The sequence below is a fragment of the Homo sapiens genome, chromosome 6 (assembly GCF_000001405.40).
Source record: "Homo sapiens chromosome 6, GRCh38.p14 Primary Assembly".
NCBI classification, from domain to species: Eukaryota; Metazoa; Chordata; class Mammalia; order Primates; family Hominidae; genus Homo; species Homo sapiens.
Genome location: NC_000006.12, coordinates 44,065,620 through 44,088,421, shown reverse-complemented (window position 1 = coordinate 44,088,421; position 22,802 = coordinate 44,065,620). Strand labels below are relative to the sequence as shown.

Sequence of the window (22,802 nt, the reverse complement as noted above, 5' to 3'; positions counted from 1 at the left end):
AAAAATTAGCCAGGTGCAGTGGCATGCACCTGTAGTCCCAGCTACTCAGAAGGCTGAGGCAGGAGAACCACTTGATCCCAGGAGTCGGAGGTTGCAGTAAGCCAAGATTGTGGCATTGCACTCCAGCCTGGGTGATGGGAGTGACACCCTATCTCAACAACAACAACAAAAAAGAAGAAGAGAAAATAATGAGTTAAAAACCCATCCCTCTGATAGCGTTATTCCCGCTTACCTTCTGCTCTGCTTTCCCGAGTAAGAGACAAGGTGGGAGTGCTGCCCGGGTACTAGCACTGCCACCCCTGGGTGAAGCTCCCATCCCAGGTGTTGTGGTATAAACAGGGTATCAGCTGTTATACCCCAGGGGGAATCAGAAGCGCTGGCTCAGGAAAAGCCAGGCCATGCTGTCTGAGAGTGCGCTGGGGTGGGTAAGAGCACAAACTCAAGGCAGGCTGGCTGGGGCCAAATCCTAGCTCTGCTGTGTGCAAGCTGAGTGACTTTGGGAAAGTTACTTACCCTCTCTTTGCCTAGGTTTCCCCATCTGTAAAATGAAGACAATAATAGCATTGGCCTCTTAGGGTTGTTGTGAGAATTAAATGAGATAATACACCTAAAGCAGAACACTGCCTTGTACACAGTAGGAGGTATACAAATGTTGACTATTATTATTGTTAATTAAAGGAAAGGCCAGGCAAGGCTAAGACTCCTGACTTAGGAGTCACCCAGCAGTCTCCTGGTAGAGTCCCTGAGTCTGGGTGCACCCTCCCAGACTGATGTACCTGGATACCTCTGTGTTCCGGGAGGGCAGGATAGAGGCTTCTGCCTCCTTCTTCCCCAGCCCTGTCCTTCCTGGCTTGCATCTGGCCCACGCAGGCTTCCTGGTGCTCTCCTGAGTCAGAGGCTCCTGGAATGGGAGTTGGGGCTGGAGGGCAGGGTCTCAGGGACACGGCCTCAGACTCTGAAAGAAGACATGCTGTCCACTGGCCTGAAGGCCTCATGGTGGGGGATGGGAGTGGCAGCTGGCACGGTGCCCTGCTCCCGTGAAGAACCCAGTTTTGCCACTAGCTGGCTGTATGACCCTGGCCAGCTCCCTCCCCTGGTCCTGGCAGCTCTGTCTGAGTGCACACTGAGCATTGCCTCATTTAATTTGCAAACTTGCCTGGTGATTCCAGTCCTCATCATACAGACGTGGAGGCAGAGGCAGTGAGAGGAGCAGCCACAGTAAGAGCAGGAGGACTTTCTCACTGATAATGACCCAGGACTTGGATCCAGGCAGGTGTGGTTCAGGTGAGGTGCCTCAGGCTACGTGCAAGGTGGAGCTGGAACCAGAACCAGGTCTGCTCAGATGTGGCTCCAGTGCCTGACCCTTGGCTTCAGTGATAAGGCCAGGTCCGAGGCTGAGCATTTGTCAGGACCCCCATGGCTGTGTCCTACAATGCGGCCCCTGGCCAGCCGAGGCAGGCTAAGAAGATGCAGGGCAGGGGTTGTGTGTCCCCTGGCAGACTGGGTGGGGTTCCCTGAGGTCAGGGGCTAGTCCCCTCACATGGGAGAGTTTCTTACTGGGAAGTTTTTCTTTTTGAAGTTTTTATTATGGAAACTCTGAAACACGTGCACAAATAGAGAATAAGGTATAATGAACCCCACGCACTCATTCCCAGACTCAGCAGCTATCAATTTATCACCAAGCTGGTTTCATCCACCTACTTGCCCCCTCTCCCCTGCCACCACACCTAGATTTTGAAGCACATTTATAACATTATATCATTTCACAGATTTTTCTAAATGTGTGTCTAAAGATAAAGACTCTCCTTAAAGAAAAAAAAAATTACCTGAATTCCAGGAATTTTTTTTTAAAAAGTTGAGACAGGGTCTTACTCTGTCACACAGGCTGGAGTGCAGTGGTGTGATCATAGCTCACTGCAGCCTGGACCTCCTGGGCTCAAATCAACCTCCTGCCTCAGCCTCCTGAGTAACTGAGACTACAGACGCAAGCCACCATATCCAGCTAATTAAAAAAAAAATGTTTTTAGAGATGGGGGTCTCAATATGCTGGCCAGGCTGGTCTTGAGCTCCTGGCCTCAAGCAATCCTCTTGCCTTTGCCCCCAAAAGTGCTGGGATTACAGGCATGAGCCACTGCGCCTGACCTCCCAGGAACTTTTGTAAGAGTGAGGACTTGCTTCCCATTTTCTCCTGGCACCCAGCTCAGGGCAGAATCACTGCTCTAGTTTGAGGTCTGTCCTCTTCCACTTCCAGGGCATAAAAGGGGCCCAAGGTGGGTGCGACCCTGCGTGTACAGCAGCTTGACTTTGGCCAAGAGCCTCCTCTGCTGTGGAGGGTGCGGGGAGGGGCAAGCTCTGAGGTTAGGCCCAGATCTGACCCTCATGGAAGCGGCTCCTGGCTCCACCTGAGCCTGCGCTGAGGACCTTGGGGACTGTTCCTCCCTGTGGACCTCAGATGTGGTCCTCATTGTGGACCGGGGGTGTGGCTAGTGTTACTCAGGCCATGGCAGGCTCACTGGCATCACTGACCTTTCTCGTTTGGTGTTTATTCCTTTCCTCCCTTCCTCACACCCTTCTTTTGTTTCCCCATTTTACTGTCTTTGATGCCTTTGTTTGTATGGTTCCTGCAGGTGGGCATTACTCTTTTGTAAGCACGTATTTTTCTTTTTACTTTGATAAATGTCATTGTGTTATAGATCTCATTGAGTCAACACTGTATAAAATCTAGCCTTGAGCTGGGCATGGTGATGTACAACTGTAGTCCCAGCTACTTGAGAGGCTGAGGCGGGAGGATCACTTAAGCCCAGGAGTTGGAGGCTGCAGTGAGCTATGATTATGCTACTGCACTCCAGCCTGGGTGACGGAGTGCAGTCAATCAATCAATCAAAATAAAATCTAGCCTTGTTGCTTCCAACTGCTACATGGAACCCTATGATGTGCAGCCACACATTTTCCTGTCCACCCACTCTATGAATGAGCTGCCAAATTCCCCTAGTACATGCCCTGTGGGGATGGGGCTGTCACTCACATCCCCACCAATGCTGGGCTTTATCCAGCTTTCGAATTTTTCCCATCTACTAGAGGTAGAGTGATGTATAATGATTTTCAGCATCTTTTCTTTTCTTTTTTTTTTTTTTTTTTTTGAGACAGGATCTCACTCTGTCACCCAGGCTGGAGTGCTATGGTGTGATCATAGCTCACTGTAGCCTTCAACTTCTGCTCAAGTGATCCTCCCACCTCAGTCTCCTCAGTAGTTAGGACTATAGGCACACACTACCCTACCTTGCCCAGCTAATTTTAACATTTTTTTAAAGAGGCAGATTCTCACTATGTTGCCCAGTCTGGTCTCGAACTCCTGGCCTCAATTGTTTAATTGTCTGTTTATCTCTCATGTCCATTTCTGGGGTAGGGTTGCTGTCCTCTGGCTGCTCTGCAGCTGTTTCTTATATTGTCTAGTCTGGATATGGCTCCTTGGGCGGTTTGAGGTGGTGAGCATTGCCGTCATTGTGACATCTTCAGAGCCCTTTGAAATATGACTCCTCTCCTTCTTGCTGGCCTTTCCAGCCCCTTTGTGAGTGGATGGCACAGGGGAGGCCCTTCTCACTGTCTCTGCCCTTTTGGTAAATGCCACGTGTCTGGGACAGGGTACAGCTTGCAACAGGAACTTGCTCTTAGCATAGGGCTCAGGCATGGGGCAGGGATAGGCCAGGGCAGGATGGCTATGCCCCAGGGCCCTGTGCCTACTCCTGGGGCCCTTGCCCTGGCAGGTCTCAGCCCAGCATGGTCAGGATTCCTTCATTCCACGCACAAAAGCACTGGGCTGGGTCATGGTGTTGGATCTGAGGCCTCAAACTTGACTAGGACCCTGTCTCTGGCCTCAGAACCTTGAAGCTCAGCATGGGGAAATAACAGGTCCACGAACCAGGGTGGGGGCCAAGTCAAAGCCTCAAAAGAGGCCCCAGGCCCTGGCAGCTGGTCTGGCACGTCCCGACATGGCCAGCCCGAAGGGTATGAGCCTGTCCTGGCAGAATGCAGCTTGGCCATCTGGCAGGACAGCCATCACCGGTCAGCGTAGGCTTTCCAGAGGAGGTGTCTTCGGTCTGGGCTTTAGAGGAAGCACGCGAGTTCTCCAGGCCTCAGCAAGGTCTTAGTCAAAGCCTTGGATGGGAACAGGAGCAGAGTCTTGCATCTCTATTCCCAGGGAATGTGGTTTCTAGGTCTTTGGCCCCTGGCTTCTCTTTCTGAGCAGGGGCAGGGAAAAGGAAGTTGACTAGGGCTTAGCAGGCCTACCTCTATCCTCACTCTCTGAGTTACCGTGGGCAAGTCTCTTCTCTGTGGCCCTTGGCCCCCTCATCTGAATGATGCAGGCATGGGGTGGAGAAAAGCTCCCCAGGACCCTCACAATTTCCCTGGAAAGACCCCAGCAGGGCAGCAGTGGCTGTCTTTACCTCTTCACCCTGTCATACCCTTCAAAGACAAGAGTGACAAGGACAGAGGCTGCCCTGGTCCCTGGCCCCAGCCCCTCTGCTGCCTCTCACCCATGTGGACCCCCTTTCTAACAGCCCACAGGGTAGGCTGTGGCTCACTTCTCAGGGTTTTCTCTCAGAGCCTCTGTACTTTCCAAAGAACAGCTACCGTGAATTGAGCAGGCTCTGTGTGCCGGACACAACGCTTAGCATTTTACACCGAGGACCTCGTTTTCTTCTCACAATCTGTGAGCTGGGTGCTATTAGTATGCCCATTTTGCAGATGACATGGAGGGGCTCAGAGAGGGTAAGCCACCTGCCCAACGTCACCCGGCTTATAAGTGGCAGGGCCAGGATCCAAACCCAGTGCTGCCTGCTCTAGAGCCCATTTCCTAATCTCTTCCCAGGTCACACGGGTCTTCTCTTTCTTAAATTCCAACTACCCAGTTAGCACTCCTCGGCCAAGCCCTCTCCATGCATCTCTATTACCTCTACCCTTCCCAGATTCACCCCCTTTCCTGCTGGAGCCCTGCTGGCCCCACCTCAGCCTCTGCTTGTTTCTCTGCATCTCCTCAGAGTATGCCCACTCTCCCCAGGACTCCAGCAGGGGCTGGGTGCCCACAGGAAGCTGGGGGGCTCCCTGAGGCTTCTCATTAAACCCTACCTTGCATGGACACTGACTCCGCAGAGGGTTTGGGTGGGGTCTCACATCCCTCACATCCCGGAGAGTTATCATCCTTCCTGAGGTTGAACAGGGTCAGCTATGGAGAAAGTCACCTTCTAGAGCCCAGCAGGCCTGAGGTTCTGGGCCCTGGCAGCTGGTCTGGCACGTGCCTGACATGGCCAGCCTGAAGGGTACGTGTCTGTCCTGCTGGAAGCTGCTGGGTTATCAGAGGGGAATGAAGGGGGTGGGACACATCTCCTGGGACGTGCAGGGACTCATGCATGCATGTGTGTGCGTGCGTGTGTGTCTGCATGTGCAGCTGTGCCAGCCAAGGGCATTGTGAGCCTGGCCCCGAGGAGGGGTGGGGGGTTCTGTGGGCAACACTTGACACCTGTGCATTTAGCAAAATCAGCACAGCACTGAGACCAGCAGGCCTCTGATCCATCTTCACTGTTATTATTTTTATAATTAGGGGCCAAAATCAAATTTTCATTCCCCCGGGGGAAATCCTGTTTCCACATGAAACCCAAGCTGGTGGAGGGCTGGGAGTGGGTGTGTAAAATGAATCTGGGGCTGGGAGCTTAGCTGCCTGGGCCAAGTCCTGGCCCTACCTTTCTTCCAGCTGCAAGACCATTTCACCTGCTCAGCCTCAGCTTCCCATCTGCCAGTGAGGGACAACCTGTCTGGAATGGTGGCTGAGTCTGAAATGAACATCACCTGGTGATGTGCAAGCCAGGTGAGAATGCCACCGTGCAACATAAAAGTGGGTGGCCGTTGCTGATCAGCACCTTTTACTTCCACTTAGCACCATGTTAGGCCCAGGAGAGGAAATGGATGGACCCTTGACTCTATTTGGTAAGGATTTAGTCTGTGCCTTGAGAATGGATTGGGTTGCCTGGGCTGCGGAGATGTAGAAGATAGTTGGGCAAGGTTCATTGGATGGATGACTGAATGACTAAATATATGAAGAGATGCCTGTTTCTGCAGTGTTGAGAAGTTCAGTGCCTCCCAACTGGGAGGCACGAGGGACTGGACCAGATGACCTTAAATTTTTTTTTTTTAATATTAAAAAAATACACAGAGAGACAAGGTTTTGCTATGTTGCCCAGGCTGGTCTTCGACTCCTGGCCTTGAGCAATCCTCCAGCCTCAGTTTCACCAAAGTGTTGAGACGACAGGTGTGAGCCACCATGCTCATCCCAGATGACATTTGAAGCGGCTTTCCACTGAAGGTCCTTCCCAGGTTCTGTGACTTGAGCTGAGTTCTGCCCCCTTTCCAAGAGCCCCTGCTTATCCCCAGGCCTCCCTGTGATTGGTGCTGGGTTGGGCACAGGACCTTTTTGTCCCACATGGTCCTGCCCACAACGGTTCCCAGGTTAAGGTATGGGGAGAGCCCATGGCCAGGAGAACTGAGGCCCATGCGGGACCTACATGATGAGTCAGAGTGAGGCTGGGGGAGAGGACAGCCTTCGAGAGCCAAGGCTGTGTTGTGGGAGGGAAGTATTGCCAGCTTTTTGGGGGTTAGCCGGGAAGGCTTCCTGGAATTGGCGTTGATTCTCAACGTGGGAGCCACTAGGTTGGCCCCTAGTCCCAGCCGTCACAAGCTTGTGTGGACTAGTATGCATCTGCCTTCTGCTTACCTTGCCATGTCTAGCCCATGACCCTGGAGGGCAAGAGGGAGGGGTGTCCTGCTGCGGGGCAGAGGGATTCTGGCCTAGGTGTGTGTGGGAACTCCTGAGGCTGCAGGCTTCAGTTTTTGCCGGCTCACTGAAGCAGTCTCTGGGGAAGCCGGGGCTTCTGGGAGTGGTTCTGGTGCTGCGTGGTCTTGGCTAGTTTTCATCTCTTGGAATATTTCCTCCCCTGCAAAATGAGTGGCTGGCAAAGGTGATCATCCAAATCCCCCTGCACTGGGATTCATGGCAGGAGTCTGCGGGGGGACACCTGGACAACCCAGGATGAGACCCTGTGCCCTGGGGTGAGCTGGATGACAGGCTCAGGGAGTCATGGGGGCAGGGGGGTTCTCTCTGTGCAGCTGCCTCCTGGAGGGCCTTTTGGGGGCTAAAAGTACCACCCTGCAAGCTTCCCTCCCTGGCTTCTGCCCCCCTCCCCTGCCCCATTTTGTCCCCTTTGTTACATTCCACAGTGGAAAGCGATCCCTCTCTCAAGGCCTGAGGATTACAGTCAGGAGAAAAGCCTGGGTCGCCCTGGGAACACTCACGTAGCCTTTTCCCACCGGTGCCCTCCTCCTCCTGACAAAGGCTGGGGTAGGGGGATGATCCTGATGCACCCCAGCCTGAGGGAGCAGTAGGGTCTCTGGGGTTGGGGGGCTGGTCAGCCTTTCCCTCCCTCCCTGGGGTTCAGCAACCCCAGGGAGGGAGTGAACTGTGTTGAGAAGCCCCCAGTGGGCCCTCTCAGGATGCAATTGGGGCCTAGGTCCTGGGTTTCCATGTGCCTGGGCTCCCCCTGCCCCCTCACTTCTGCCCTGAACCCTCCCGCAGGCTGCAGTGCCACTCCCCATCCCTACTAAGCTGGGGATTTCCGCAGGCTGAGCCAACCGCCTGACCCTAATTATGGCGCCTTCATCCTGTTGAGGTTAAGCTCCCTATGACTTTCTCTCCCCCCACCCCAGAGGCCAGGCTGGGGGTCAGAGACTCAAGAGTCTCAAGCCTACTGTGCCCCCTCTGGAAAGGGTTGATGGGCCTGTGTCCCCTTGGGTGGTTGGGAGGCAGCTTCTTGTGGGTCTGGGTAGACAAGCTAAGATAGTTTCTCTGGGCCGGGTGCGGTGGCTCACGCCTGTAATCCCAGCACTTTGGAAGGCTGAGGCAGGCGGATCATGAGGTCAAGAGATTGAGACCATCCTGGCTAACACGGTGAGACCCCGCCTCTACTAAAAAAAAACAAAAAAAATTAGCCACGTGTGGTGGCAGGCACCTGTAGTCTCAGCTACTCAGGAGGCTGAGGGAGGAGAATGGCGTGAACCCGGGAGGCGGAGCTTGCAGTGAGCTGAGATTGCGCTACTGCACTCCAGCCTGGGCAACAGAGCGAGACTCCGTCTCAAAAAAAAAAAAAAGTTTATCTGGAGAGCCCTTAGGACAGAGGGGAGCCCTGGGGAGCTGACCTCTAGAGGGCTGGGAAGTCTGAAGATGGGGAACTCCTAGAGGACCCATTCTCAACCCTGGCTGCCTATAGAATCACCTAGAAATATTTTCTTAAAATTACCTTTGTCTTAGCCAACCCCTACCAATTTTGATTTCCTTAGTCAGGGCTGGGCAAACATGGGTATTTGAAAAATCCTCCCAGTGATTCCCATGTACAGCCAATCTGAGAATCCTGCTCTGTCCTCCGCCCCATGATGCCATCGAGGAGGCTGAGGCTCAGTGAGCAGAGGCCCTTGATGGAGGCCACCCCACTAGTTGGGGCAAGGTCGGGTCAGAATCTGAGGCTTCTAACCCCATGGCAGGCTCCTTCCTATAGGCCTCTTCTGTCCCCCAGGGGCTGGTCTGGTGTCCCACTGAGTGTCACCTGTATTCATTTCACCATTTGGGCACTGAGGAGCTGTGTGACCCTTGGCAAGTTGCTTAACCTTGGTTTCTTCTTTGTGATAATGGGCTCCAGTGATAAGAATTGGACAAAATGATGCCTGCAAAGTGTTCAGTGGCACTTGAGGGAAGAGTAGCCACTGTCCTGCTTTTTGCCTGGGGCAGGCCTGGTGCTGCAGGATCTGGGCAGAGGCCTCCTTGATCGTCCCCACCCATCAGGCAAGTGAAGCCCTTAGAGGTGGAACTTCGGAGGGTGGAGTCCCCGGGGAGTGGCCACCCCTGAGGCTCCCCAGGGCCCTGACAGGGAGTTGGGAGGTGTAGGGAAAGTGTGAAGAATGGCTTCCTTGCACACTCGACTTCATGCACTTCCAGGTGGCGGTGACAATGGTCAGGATTCTGCAGTTATATGAATGGCCACCAGGAGTCACCCTCAGCTCATGCTTGAAGTGAAGGCAGCACAGAAAAAGGGAAAGGAGCTGTAAGGGAGAAAAGGAGGAGGACACCCCACCACAGAGTGGATGAGCCTGGAGGGGACCCAAGGCTGCCAGAGTGGCTGCTTCATTTCTGCAGGAAGGTGCAGGACAGAACTCAGACTGGTGGGCACCGTGCCAGCAGGCAGAGGAGGGAGCAAAGGCTCATTTGTCTGCCTTCGGAATTCTCCTTCCCATGCTGATGTCAAATCACAATTCAACAGATTCTTCATGGGGCACCTGCTGCACACAGAGGGACAGGAATCTTACTGAACACCTAGTATATGCCAGAGCCTACACACACAGTGGGCTACTCAACATTCACAACAACTCTGTACAGTAAGTACAAATATTGGTCCCAAGATACAGATTGGGAAACTGAGGCTTATACCAGTTATGTGTTGTGCCCAAGGTCACCAAGCTGGATGAGGACTGACGCCTGTCTGGAGCCTAAATTCTTTCTCCTACACCAGATTGACTTCCAGAGAGTTCTAGGATACAAAGCTGGCAACAGACTTTCTGCCACGTAGAGGGATATGGCAGGTGACAACCCTGTCTGGCTCTGCTAATCAGGATCCAGTAAGAAGCTCAAGACAGGTGGCCACTCTGCTGGTAGGCAGAGGAGGGAGCTGTGCTCCCTGGGGTGGGTAGAAGTAAGGTTTGTGTGGGTGCTGGGTGTTGGACACGGGCAGGCTGCAGACATAGCAGCAATGAGGGGAGACTCTCTCAACCTGCCCATGTCCTCCTCTGAGCAATCTCCCCGCCCCAGAATTATTTCAGTTTCCTCATCTGTCAGTTCTAGGGGTGGACTTCATTCATTCAATACTGTGTCCCTGACCTCTGCTCCCTGCCAGGCTCTGAACTAGTCATGTGTCAGGCTGGATACTTAGATGGACAAGACAAGCCATCCCCTGCCCACAGCTGCCCCACCTGAAGTCTAGGCCAGTGACCTCCGAAGTTTTTTTGATCATGTGCCCTTAGCAATAAAAAAGATTGTTGAGTACGCACCCGTCAGATGAGTATGTTTTTATATAGTTTACCTTGTAAAACACACTCACACTAAATGAAAAAAGGATTCGATGAAAAATAAATAGGCATTCTAAAACTTTCTTCCAGTACCCCTGAACCACGCACACATATGGCACTTGGAACCCAACTGCTCCAGGAGCTGGGAGGGTAGGGTCAGTCCAGCCATACTCAGGACGGATGTGTGGTCAGTGTTCCAGAACATCCTTGCCCACCCCTTTATGCCCTAGCAAAGGAAGGGAGAAACTTCAGATACAGCAGGTGGGAGTGTGGGCAGATGGGAAGCGTAAGCAGGTTTATGTCTGAGGAGGCAGACAAGAGGCAGGTTTTTATTTTAGACTGTGATGTTGAAAATTTTGTGATCACTTTTTACACTGTCCCAGGACATACAGAACCAAGACATAGTGTCCCAAGTAGTATCTAATTTCATATACTTTAGGTAGTTCTATTCCATTTCCAAAGGTTTAGAATACCGCCCCACCTCAACCCCCAGGAAACTGGGGAGCACTCCCTCCACTACACACACTTGGGACACGAAGGACAGACCCTGGTTGGGGAGGCACTTAGGTGTCCCTTCCTTAGGGGCTTTATCTCTCACTTCCCCTCCTGGGTTGGAGGCTCCTGTGACCCCCTCGCCTGGGCAGGTCCCCATGCAGGGTAGAGCACTTGGAGGCCTCTGTAAACATGGGTTACAGGAGAGAGGGGGCAAGAGGCCACAGCTGGGGTACATAAGGAAACCCCTCTGTGGGCCCCCTTACTCAGAGAAGTCTCAGGAGAAACCCTTTCCCCCACCCCCAGTCCTGGCACCAAGCTGGAGAAAGACAAAATGGCTTGTGAAGGCATCTGTCTGCCCTCCAGGGTGGCTGCCAGGGGGGCAGCCATGATGGCTGGCCTGGTGTGGGTGCCTTTGTGTGCCATGACTGGGTGTCTGTTTCTGCAGTCACTAGGCGCTTGTTCTGTGGGGTGAGGGGTGTGGGGGTGGGGGCACGGCCTATGGCAGGGCACGTACGTGAGGCTGGGCACGAAAAGCCTCACCCACCTCCTGCCAGGTACAACCAGCTGCTGGGGCCAACTGCCGACCGCCTCCTCCCTTCCCTGGGCACGGCCAGGCCGGGGGGCAAATGACTTGGCAGGCACCTCCCCTCAGTTGGACCCACTAGGGCAGGGCCGGCTCACCTGGGGCACAGGCAGGGCTCCTGGCTGGGTGGGTGTTCTGCCAATCCCTTCCCCAACTCCTAAAGTGGGAGGGTGGTGGTGAGGCCAGGGAAGGGGCGCAGGTCAGAGATATGCCCCCTCTCCTCTCCCAGACTGTGCATGGGTAAAGCAGGGCAGAGAGGGGCTGGTGGAGGGGCGGGAAGTTTCTCTGTTTAGGGCCAGGAAATGATTTCCATGCAAATGAGATGCAAACTCCTTAATGAGTTTGCAATTAGGAGACCAAGGCTGCCAGGCCGGGCAGCGCCTGCAGGTTTTATGAATGGGCCAGCGTAGGCGGGGGGGAGGGGGCGCGCCGGCCCGCCCCCACATTTCCCTGCCGCGGCGCCCGCGACATGCCGCGCCGCACGTTGCTGCCTCCAGGCCCCGCCGCGACCTGGCCCACCGCCAGCGGGTCAGCTGCTCCGGACGGCGCGGGAGGCTGCCGGCCAGAGTCCCCGCCACGCCGCCGGCCGGCGACGCAAAGGAGCCGACGACACTCCCCCTGGGGCCCGGCAGGGGCTCTGTCCTCGGGCCCCCTTTTTTCCCGGTTATTGGAATGATTTCCCGAAGCAGGAAGGCCAGAAGTTAGCCTTCAGGCCCCGTTGTATTTAAAATGGGCTGCCCTGGGACTTCACTGACCAAAGGAGGGGGCTGGGCCCCTAACTTGGGTGACAGCAATGACCTTGGGAGGGATGGAATTATACGTGACAGGAGAGGGACCAGTTCCCATCCCAGAGCTCCTTGCACCTCTCCAATTCCCTCATGCCAGTCCACACCTCCCTAACCTCAAAAGGCCTGTTCCCACCACCCCAGGGCACCTGCTTTTTCTGCAGAGCCACCCTAGTCCACTTTGGGTCTTGCTCTGACCTGGGGCCCAGGAGAGGGTCTCCTAAGTGGGTGGGTACACACAGGTTTGCTGTGGTCCAGAAGGAGGCTGACCAGAGTTTGAGAGTTTGAGCCCAGTTAGGTCACAGCCCCCTACCTCCTCCCCTCCCCTCTCCTCCCCCTGTCCCCGCCCTGCCCCATTGCTTTCAGAGTAAATTAACTAATTACCTCCAATTAAAGCACCTGGCTCTCTGTATCCTCCTAGGCCTTCAATCACTGCTTCTGGGAGTCCTCTTCATCCAGGCAGGGTCTGGAAGGGGGCCTGACCAGTAAGTTGGAAGTCAGTGAATCAATGAAGTGGGGCGGGGAAGACAGGATGGAGGAAGCCCACAGTGCCATTTACTGCTTGGGAGTGGTCCAGGCAGCCAGGACCTCTGACTTGGCCAGCTTGCAGACTGAGGTTGGGTCTGGGGACTTGGGCCCTAGGGGGGCCTGTGAAGGCTGGGAGCAGGAGCTGCCTTTGGAGGTTAAGTCCCTGGTGAAGGGCCTGTGCAGATGTGTGCAGATGTCAAGGCCCTGAGGGTGACCCTAGAAGCCCCTCAGCAGGAGAAGCAACTTGAGGGTCAGGTCCTAGAAGCTAGCAGTTCTTGGCACCTGCTGCCTCCCTCACCCAGCAGGCAGGGAGAGACTCCAAATGCCTGTAGGCCCAACCAGTCCCTCCTGTCTTTAACCCCAGCTGGCTCCTCCTGCTGCTCAGGAAGTGAAAACCCCTCCATTCTTTTCTCCGGGCCCCCTTGGTGGCCCCCAGGCACAGGCCCAACACTAGCTCTGCCCAGCACTGTCCTGGCCCACCCCACGTGTAGGACGTGATGGGGAGGATACCTGGTGGCAGGAGGCAGACTGATGGATTGTTGACCTGGGTCTCACCTCTGGACGAGCTGGCCATTCCTGGGGACTGGGCAGGGTCACGCCAGGCTGTGACTCAGGCCCCTGCCCCACCATGCCAGGGACCTGGGCTTGGGCCATCCTCTGTGTATGTGGGGTGGGGTGGAGCAGAGGTTTGTCAATTGGAGGCTTCTCTTTGGGGACACCTCTCACAGCCCCAGGGAGCCAGACTATGACTAGAAGGATCAGGGTTTCCATGGCTGCTCCTCCCCACCCACCACCCCAATAGAGGCTGACAGGAAGGACTCCCAAGCAGGGCACAGCAGCCATATGAGTTAGTGGGTGTATGAGCCATCCAGGACAGGGGTAGGGCTCAGCACACAGGAAGGGCCACTCCTGGGGTGTCCTGAGCCCCTATCTGCCAGCTCGGCTTGTCTCCCTAGGCCCATGGAAAGCTGGCTCAAAACTCCCCACCTCCAGGAAGGCGTCACCATGCCTCGCTTGTTTGTGGCCAGCCCAGCGCTGCTCTCAGCTCCCACTTTTCACTTGTTTCTCTGCCTCTTGTCCCCTTTCCCAGATCCACCAAGCGTCTATGGGCAGACTGTTTTTTCCTGCACTTCCTAGTGGCCAGCAGAGGGCGCCGCCAAAAGACTGAGGCCACCACGGAGGGAACAGGAGAATCGGCTTTTTGGGGTCTAGCCACTGTGCAGAGCCCAGGCGCGTGGGTCGGTGTCGGGTGTGTGTGTACGTCTGTGTGTGTAATGAAACTGGACGCCTTCCTTCCCGGCGATCTTGACTTAACCTGTCAGCAGAGGGCTTGAGGTTAGACCACAGGTTGAACCTAGGTGGCTGCTGGAGAGGTAAGCCCAGGTGGCTCTTGGCAGGAAGAGGAGGATGAGTGAGTTGCTCCCTTCTAGCAACCCAAATGGGAAGGGACAACGGAGGTTGCCAGCTTTCCTCCCTGACCCTGGAAGAAGGGTTGGGAGGGGTTGCACAGAATAGCTGGTGTCCCACCCTGTGGGAGGAACTGCTATGGACATCTGGGCCACATCTGGTTTCCTGGCAAGGCAGGGAGCTGGTCTGTTTGGAATTCTTGGTCCACCGCTTGGTGGTCCCTCACCATTACATTCTAGGAGGACCCTTTACAAACAGGTGTATAGGGCGCAGCCCTGTAATGCGAGTGAGTCCACAGCAACCTAGTCGTGGTCACACTCCTTTGGAAGTGGCCCTAGGGGCCTGGGCAGCAGCCTGCTCCTCTGCGCCACTCGACCTTTCTGTGGCCATGTTGGAGTCTGCATGCTGAGATGCTGCCCTTTCCCCTTGGAAATGCTGGGAAATGTGCTCTGGTGTCCATCCTGGCCATGCCTCTTCCTCCAGGTGGGGTAAGAGATGAAAAGAGGAGTTAGTCTGCAGTACCTCTTAGGGACCCCACCCCATGAAAGGCGGAGTGGGGAAGTGCTTGCTGTTGGGTCACCTCCACGAAAGCTTGGGAATGCGGTTGGGACGGGTAGCGGGAGGAGGGGTCAGCAGGAGTGGTTCTTTCTTGGGTCTGGATTCTGGGTTTTGGGGACGAGACAACACGGAGGAAACCCCTCTTGGTCGGCTTGGTTCCAGGAGGCTCAGGCCGGGAGATGGCCGTAATGGCCTCGCAGAAAGAAGCGGGAGCGGGGGAGGGGGAAGGCTGAGCATCGAGCCCACCCGGACTCTCCCTCTGTCCTCCCCGCTGCGGGGGCCCACCCCTTCGCCCCCACCCCTCTATCTCCAGGGCCGCCGCGGCCCCTCCCCGAGACCTGGGCGCCGCCTCCCCCTCCCCTCCTCCTCCCCCTCCCACCCAGCGCTGCAGCTGCTGCCGACGGACCATTCTGCACGTAGCGAATGGAGGAGACGCACAAGGGAGGCCTCAAGTGCGCGCGCGCGGGAGCCGGAGCGGCGCGGGCGGGGGAGCGGCTGCGGGCGCGCGTGCGCGTGCGGCGCCGGCTTTGATCGCGCGCGCCGAGCTCCGGAGCGCGCTGCTCTTCTGAGCGCCGGGGTTGGGGATGCTGGGCGGTGAGCCTCCGTACCCTCTCCACTCCGCGCACGCTCTGTTACCCCTCCAGCAAACCCCGCCTCCAGCCAGGACCCTTTTCAGTTGCCACCCCAATAGTACTGTCCTCTGCGCGTAGTAGGGTCTTCTGTTACGGTGTGCCGGGTGACGGATTGTACAGTCAGCCAGGTCCTGGGCTAGGGTTTCACAGAGTTCAGAACATGCCCGTGTTCATGACCATATAGTTTCACTTTTGCCCCAGGATCTCTCAGCCTGGAGGCCCTCACCCGCCTGCCTCTGCTGCACCTCAAACCTAGGCAAGCCCCATAAAGCCCCTTATAAGGGCTTGGGAAGAAAAAACAAAGGAGTGCTTTGACTTTTATTTCCTCTGGGATGGGGAACTCCCAAGGGAGTTCATTTCCCTTTCACCCCCTCCTATGTTACCTGCACAGCTCCTACTCCCTGGGGTGTCCAGGACTCTGCTGGGCCCTGCCCACACCACTGACAAAGGTGTGGTATGGTAAGCACAGAGTCTGCGTCCTGGGACAACCCAGGGAGTACAGGGAGGCTGTGTCAGGCTATGGCAGGCAGGGCCTTCATCTTGGAGGTGTCTCCTGACTTCCAGGGGCACTCTCTTCACTTCCTGAATCCCTGATCAGGAAGGGGATTGGCAAGTGGCTGGCCTGCCACCTGGGCCACTGGCAAGTGGGTGGCCGGGGGGGGGGGGCTGTCTTCCTTCCCTGGATGGGCTACGTTGGCACCTCATTCCACCTTCCTCACTGTGCATCCTGGCTCTCCTGGCTAGGTGGGCATTGGGCAAGACAGGTGACAGGGCCTTGCAAAGGGATGTCTGAATAGGGTCGGTGGTGTTTTGAACCTCCCTGTGGGAGTGAACTGAAGGGGACTGGTCTGTGGAATGTGCAGGTGGAGGTAGCTGAGAGCTCTTTGTCACGTACTAACTTAAACTGGCCCCAGTTGTTTGACCCCTCTGAGCCTCAGTTTTCTGTGTAATGGGAGTACAGCATTCACCCAGCGGGGCTGTTGAGGATTAAAATATAATCTGCCTATAACATGCCTCATATGTTGGAGGCATGTATGAGGTAAACCTTTTTTTATTATTGTGTTTGAACTGGCTGAAAGTCTGGGGACATTTCCCTCAGCTTTGTTTCCATGGATAGAGTGAATTCAAATCCCGGAGCTGGCAGCTCCTTGGAATTTGAAGGTGGGCTTTGAGAAAACTGTAAAGAGGCCAGTAACATGTCATGTTTATGTCACCATCCAAGAATGAACCATTTCATACTAGTTTTCCAGACATTAATATCTGAAACCTTAAAAAGAGATATTTTGGATAGGAATCACTAGTGGATATTACACGCTTTCCGGGCTTTTAATCAGAGGTTACAGAACATGTGAGTCTTCATGACTCAGGGTTGTGGTTACAAGGGTCCATCAGTATCCTGGTTGTAATACAGTGAAAATCCAAGGCCTTTTTTGGCCCCACACCAACGGCTCATTCCATGAAGGCTACATTTTCGTAGTTCTTGTGTCTACTTTTATAGTACTTTATCACTTCATCAACTCTCTCCGTATAAACTATCACTTCTGTTACCATCACTTTGCCTGCCTCCAGGGCAGACCACCAAACCCACCCTATTCTCAACTTGTTTCTGTTTGGCTGTGGGCTGAGATGTCCGAAAATCACATCTGTTGGAAGATGTGAAAAACAACGAGATCTTTTGAACTTGACAAATTATATTAAAGTTCATCTGGAGAAATAAACATGCAAAAAGAGCTTGGAAAATCCTGAAAAAGAAGTATTATAAGGGACGACTAGTGCTACTAAAATGTTGTAGAAAGCTCCAATAATAAAATAGTTGGGTACTGGCACAAGAACAGACAGGCAGATCAAAGGAGCAGAGTAGAGGCCAGACACACACCCGTGAACAAATGGAAATTAAATATATGATAAAATGACATTTTAGATCAGAGGAGAAAAGATGAATTATTCAATCAAATTGGACAACTGGTTAGCTGTTAAGGGGGAAAAAAAAGAAATCCAGCTCCCCACTTCATCTCTTATTCTGAAATAAATCCCGATGGAGTGAAGATTTAAATGTAAAAAGGAAACCATAAAATTACTAGAAGAAAACATCTGAAAGTCTAAAAGTGTATGTTCTTGGATTGGGGAAAGTTTGACACAAAACCTAGGAGTCACAAAGGGAAAGAATTTTTTAAAATTGGCTGTATTAAAATATGACGTAGGGTGTTGTGTTACATGCCTGTAGTCCCAGCTCCTTGGGAGGCTGAGGTGGGAGGATAACTTGAGCCCAGGAATTTGAGGCCAGCCTGGGCACCACAGTGAGACTCCATCTCTGAAAAAAAAATGTGTTTTTAATGTAATATCCTGAATTCTAAAGACAACCGTCTGGAAAAAATATTTTTAACATAGATGACCGATGAGTTTTTACAAGTCAATAAGGAAAATAAAAACGAATAGAAAAATGGGCAAAGCACATAAACCGGTAAGGGGATACTAATGGTTAACAAGCAGGTGAAAATGCTCACCCTCAGTCAAAATAGAAGAAATCAAAATGAAGACATGAGAAGATTCTCTTTTCGCCAATTTGATTGACAACAACTAAAATGGGCAACCCCTCACTGTGTGGACACAGACATCCTCAGAGCTGGGGGGGAGGACAGTTGCACCTGTGAAGGGGATTGGCAGTATACATGAGAAGAATTAATTCACAAACCATGGACTCGAGGGTTCCATATCTAGGAATTTATCAGATGCACTGTTATAAATGTCACAAGTGTTCAAAGTATACATACAAGTGTGTTCATTGCAGTTTTGCTTCCAAACCTGAAAAACTGGAAGCAACATTAAGTCCATTAATAGGGCACGGATTGGATATGTTATGATGCCTCCAAACACCAATAGTATGCAGTGGTTGAAAAGAGTGAGGTTGAGGTTGTGTGTTGATATTCACTAAGTAGAAAAGCAAGTGGCAAGACATTCCTTGGGTGGTGCTACTCCATGAAGGGTGTGCCCTCTGCCAGCATGGGCATGGAGCCTATTAGAAATCCAGAATCTTCAGCCAGTTGCAGTGGCTCATGCCTGTAATCCCAGCACTTTGGGAGGCCAAGGCAGAAGGATTGCTTGAGCCCAGGAGTTCAAGACCAGCCTGGGCAGCATGGCAAAACCTCTCTACAAAAAATTAGCCTGTAGTCCCAGCTACTAGGGATGCTGAGGCAGGAGGATCGCTTGAGCCTGAGAGGTGGAGGTTTCAGGGAGCCAAGATGGTGCCACTGCACTCCAGCCCAGGTGACAGAGAGAGACCCTGTCTGAAAAAACAAACAAAAAAGAAACCTGGAATCTTGGGCCACCGTAGAACTACGGGATCAGAAACACTAGGGCTGGAGCCCAGCAGTCTGTGGTTTTAACATGTTCTCTGTATGATTCTGATGCATACTCGTGTTTGAGAAGTACTGATGAGGAGTATGTCACTATATGTGTAAAAAATGGATAAAAACCAGTTAGCCCTTCTGCCTCTAAAATTTCAGAGTCACCAGAAAGGGCTTTCCATGACCAGAGTGAGAAGGGATGGAAAAGTCCACTTTTCACTTTATGTGTTTCTGAACTGTTCAGACTTTTTGCCACGAGAATATATTACTTTGGTTTTTTTAAAAAGTAGTTAACTCTGGAGACTGAGGCAGGAGAATCGCTTGAACCTGGGTAGCGGAGGTTGCAGTAAGCCGGGATCAAGCCACTGTGCTCCAGCCCGGGTGACAGAGCGAGACTCCGTCTCAAAAAAAAAAAAAAAAAAGTAGTTAATAAATAAAAAAAGCTACCCAAATGGAGAAAGAAAATGTGGTACATACATACAATGGAATATTATTAAGCCTTAAAAAGGAAGAAAATTGTGACACATGCTGTAACAGGGATGAACTTTAAGGACATTGTGCTAAGTGAAATCAGCAAATCACAAAAGGACAAATATTGTATAATTCCACTTTAATGAGGTAACTAAGGTAGTTAGATTCATAGAGACAGAAAGTAGAATGGTGGTTGCCAGGGGCTGGAGAGATGGGGAGTTAGTGTTCAATGAGCAGAGTTTCTGTTTTGTAAAATGAAAAGAATTCTGGAGATGGATGGTGTTGATGGTTGCACAACAATGTGAACATATGTAATGTGAACGTATGTAATGTGAATGTATTTAATGCCACTGAAATGTACACTTAAATGTGGTTAAAATGGTAAATGTTCTGCGTATTTTATCACAAATTTTTTAAAGTTTAAAAAGCTACCTTTAGGTGTGTAAAGCAGGGTTAGTGATTGCCTCTGGCAGGTTCTGTGAGAGCCTCCATCTAGGTTACAGAGTATGTATTTGAGGGTTGGGCTTCTTGAGAACTCTCTCCTGCCGAGCCCAGTTGGAGCAAGTCTTGGCTTCCAGTAAGAGTGAGGCCGCGTGTTTGCCCACACAGTGGGAAGCCAACCTAAGAACTTGCTGCCTTGAGGGATGGGATAGGCTGACAATAGGGACAGATAGGAGAGTGGTTTGGTGACTTGCTGGAAGACAGAGGCATGCTAGGTTACTGGGGAAGCTGGATCCTTGCCCCTTCCCTGCTGCCTCTGCTGAGACCCTTCCCTGGCCTGGGGAGGGGCTTGCTCTCCTAGAGGGTCAAAGCTCTGCAGGAAGTGTGGTGAGCCAGTGGCCCTGGGGAGATGGCTCCTATGGGGACAGGAGGGAGAGAGGGCAGGATGAGTAGAGATTGTGGGGCAGGGCATGGGTTTCTTGGGAACAAGACTGTGCTCAGACATCTGGCTGGAGCAAAGACTGTACTTGAAAAAGGGATCAGGCCAGGGTGGGGTGAGGGGGAGGGGGCACTGGATGTGGGAGAACCTGCCCAAGCTGGGCCTAGCTCAGCCAACTGACTGTGACCCAGAAGCGGGGGACAGCAGGTGGGCTTCCACCTGTCCTTCTGCCAGCTGGGGGAGCGGGCTCCTGCACCAGGCCCTGGGGACTTCTCCAGGTGGCCCATTCTGGCCTGGATGCACAGCTGCCCATGCCACCCTAGACCCTCCCTCCCCAGGCACCGAAAGTCTGGGTTCCAGGAACTAACTAGGGAGACCTGTGGTCAAGGAAGGGTCCAGAGGTGAGGAGGCCCTGCAGCTAAACTGGCTAGGCTGATGGGGACACAGAACCCCACCCCAGGACCAGCACAGGTCAGTACATAGCAAGCCCTCATTCAATCCTACCCAGCAAACCCCTTTCAGGAAGCTGGGGACCAGTCCCTGAGCTCAGGGAGCTCACAGTCTGGCCGAGAGAGGAGCTACCCTGACTCAGGCAGAGTGGGTATTGACCACAAGCCTGGCTGCATCACCTCCAAGACATGATCTGTCCTGACTCTGTGACAGCCTCAGACTTCAGTCTGCCCATCTGTGTAATGGGGTTGATATCTTAGGGTGCCCTCAGCCATGGCAATGCCCAATTGTCAGTGTTAGGTGGGAGGCACCGACTCTGATCCTGCCAGCCTGGAGATGGGGTTGCCAACGGAAAAAGGAGAGCACAGAAGTCCAGCCCCAATCTCCACATGGCTCTGTGTTTTATTTCCCTGAAAAAGGCACAGGAGGTCAAGAGGAGGCAGGGAGGAGTAGGGGATAGAGGGCTGGGAAAGCCCAGCTCCTCGTATTGAAAGGTGACTAGGGAGTGGGGAGGGATTCCCAGGCCTGTCCAGCTGTTTCCTGCTTCCTTCACTACCAAATGTATACACTGTAAGGTCGGGCTGCCCCCTCACAGGGACCCACTGGGGTAGGAGGCCTCTCCCTCTGCTAATCCAGGTGGCTACAGCATAGGATAAGGGAAAGCTAATGGTGTTGGGACCCACTTCCTGTGCTGATTTGGACTCATGGAAGCAGGAACCTGCCAAGCTTGGCTTCCTCAGGCCACTGGTATAGCTGCCCAGGCTTGTCTGCCCACTCCCCATGCTCAAATGGTCCTGAAGAGCCCCTAGCTGAGGGCAGTGGGCATGAGATCATGCTACAAAATGCCTGTGCTCTCAGCTATACACCCCCCACCAGGTCCAGGCAGGCCCTGCCCACACATCCTGTGGGTCTCGCCTGCCCAGCTACCCATGGTGATTTAACGTGAGAGACTGGGGCTAGACTGTGGGAGAGACCACCCAGAGGGGTGAGTGGGTGAACTGGGAACAGGCTGCTCACTGAGGAAGCCCCTGCCAGTAAGCATGATTGTCCTTCCTCAGGAGGGTGGCCTGGTGGGAAGTAGATGCCCCACCCCACCCAGTCTGAAAACCCCCAGATGATGTTGGGGATGGTGGATGAGTTGCCTGTTTTAGATGCTAAAGGAGATCTAGTTCTGACCTAGTTTGATGGGATTGACACAGTGCCTGTCTTCATGGAATTCAGTCTGAGGGAGACACAGCCCTGTCCACAGGGAACCCCAGTCCGAGGAGAGACGCAGTCCCATCCTCAGGGAGCCCCAGTCTGAGGGAGACACAGCCCTGTACTCAGGGAGCCCCAGTCTGAGGCGGGAGACAGCCCTGACTCAGGGAGCCCCAGTCTGAGGGGAGACACAATCCGGTCCTCAGGGTGCCCCAGTCTGAGGGAAGACGCAGCTCTGACTCAGGGAGCCCCAGTCTGAGGGGGGAGACAGCCCTGACTCAGGGAGCCCCAGTCTGAGGGGGGAGACAGCCCTGACTCAGGGAGCCCCAGTCTGAGGGGAGACACAGTCCCATCCTCAGGGTGCCCCAGTCTGAGGAAGACACAGCCCCATCCTCAGGGAGCCCCAGTCTGAGGGAGACACAGCCCTGTACTCAGGGATCCCCAGTCTGAGGGGGGAGACAGCCCTGACTCAGGGACCCCCAGTCTGAGGGGAGACACAGCCGTGACTCAGGGACCCCCAGTCTGAGGGGAGATGCAGCTCTGACTCAGGGAGCCCCAGTCTGAGGGGAGACACAGCCGTGACTCAGGGACCCCCAGTCTGAGGCGGGAAACAGCCCTGACTCAGGGAGCCCCAGTCTGAGGGGAGACACAATCCAGTCCTCAGGGTGCCCCAGTCTGAGGGGAGACGCAGCTCTGACTCAGGGACCCCCAGTCTGAGGGAGACGCAGCCCTGACTCAAGGAGCCCCAGTCTGAGGGGAGACACAGCCCCGTCCTCAGGGTGCCCCAGTCTAAGGGGAGACACAACCCAGTCCTCAGGGTGCCCCAGTCTAAGGGGAGACACAACCCAGTCCTCAGGGTGCCCCAGTCTGAGGGGAGACACAGCCCTGCCCTCGGGGAACTCCCACTTGAGGGGAAATGCCCTGTGCTCCCTGCTTCCTCCCTTGCATGTTATTTTCCCACCCAGCCCCATCCTCTGCTCTCCTGAAGGTTTCCTGCCCTAGGAAGGAATTGAGTGGGTGAACTGGAGCTCCCGACTTGTTGTGGGCCTCCTCCCCGCTGACTCCCAGTCTGCTCACTGTCCCTTCATGGAGACTGTGAACCGAGTATGAGGGTTCCAGGTGGGGAGACCGAGTCATAGTGACTCGGGGTGGACTGGTCACTCCCCTCCCATCACCCAGAGTGGGTGTGTGAAAGGCAACATGAGGGCCACGGGGAGGAAAAGAAGAGGCTCCTTTGAGCTCCAAGCCCCAGCCACCCTCTCCCATGTGCTGGAGCCGCGCATACGTGTGGGAGATACCATGTACCGCGTC

The 22,802-nt window shown here is 53.9% G+C and overlaps 1 long non-coding RNA gene across 1 annotated transcript in view, besides 6 other annotated features; it reads left to right on the top strand.

Annotated features, from left to right (window-relative positions):
- Window positions 12,690-12,759: an enhancer, noted in NCBI's record as "active region_24630". NCBI's record gives its function as "activates an Ori minimal core promoter by ATAC-STARR-seq in GM12878 lymphoblastoid cells {active_cell/tissue: GM12878}" and the evidence as "EXISTENCE:reporter gene assay evidence [ECO:0000049][PMID:35858748]".
- The window catches only part of SCIRT (stem cell inhibitory RNA transcript), a 78,930-nt gene continuing 69,897 nt past the window's right edge, over window positions 13,770-22,802 (top strand). The window contains exon 1 of the long non-coding RNA NR_125864.1: window positions 13,770-13,925. This is a non-coding gene — a long non-coding RNA (stem cell inhibitory RNA transcript). The remainder of the gene's footprint in view (window positions 13,926-22,802) is intronic.
- Window positions 13,880-14,139: an enhancer, noted in NCBI's record as "active region_24629". NCBI's record gives its function as "activates an Ori minimal core promoter by ATAC-STARR-seq in GM12878 lymphoblastoid cells {active_cell/tissue: GM12878}" and the evidence as "EXISTENCE:reporter gene assay evidence [ECO:0000049][PMID:35858748]".
- Window positions 14,650-14,909: a silencer, noted in NCBI's record as "silent region_17248". NCBI's record gives its function as "represses an Ori minimal core promoter by ATAC-STARR-seq in GM12878 lymphoblastoid cells {active_cell/tissue: GM12878}" and the evidence as "EXISTENCE:reporter gene assay evidence [ECO:0000049][PMID:35858748]".
- Window positions 15,000-15,079: a silencer, noted in NCBI's record as "silent region_17247". NCBI's record gives its function as "represses an Ori minimal core promoter by ATAC-STARR-seq in GM12878 lymphoblastoid cells {active_cell/tissue: GM12878}" and the evidence as "EXISTENCE:reporter gene assay evidence [ECO:0000049][PMID:35858748]".
- Window positions 15,160-15,259: an enhancer, noted in NCBI's record as "active region_24628". NCBI's record gives its function as "activates an Ori minimal core promoter by ATAC-STARR-seq in GM12878 lymphoblastoid cells {active_cell/tissue: GM12878}" and the evidence as "EXISTENCE:reporter gene assay evidence [ECO:0000049][PMID:35858748]".
- Window positions 15,300-15,359: an enhancer, noted in NCBI's record as "active region_24627". NCBI's record gives its function as "activates an Ori minimal core promoter by ATAC-STARR-seq in GM12878 lymphoblastoid cells {active_cell/tissue: GM12878}" and the evidence as "EXISTENCE:reporter gene assay evidence [ECO:0000049][PMID:35858748]".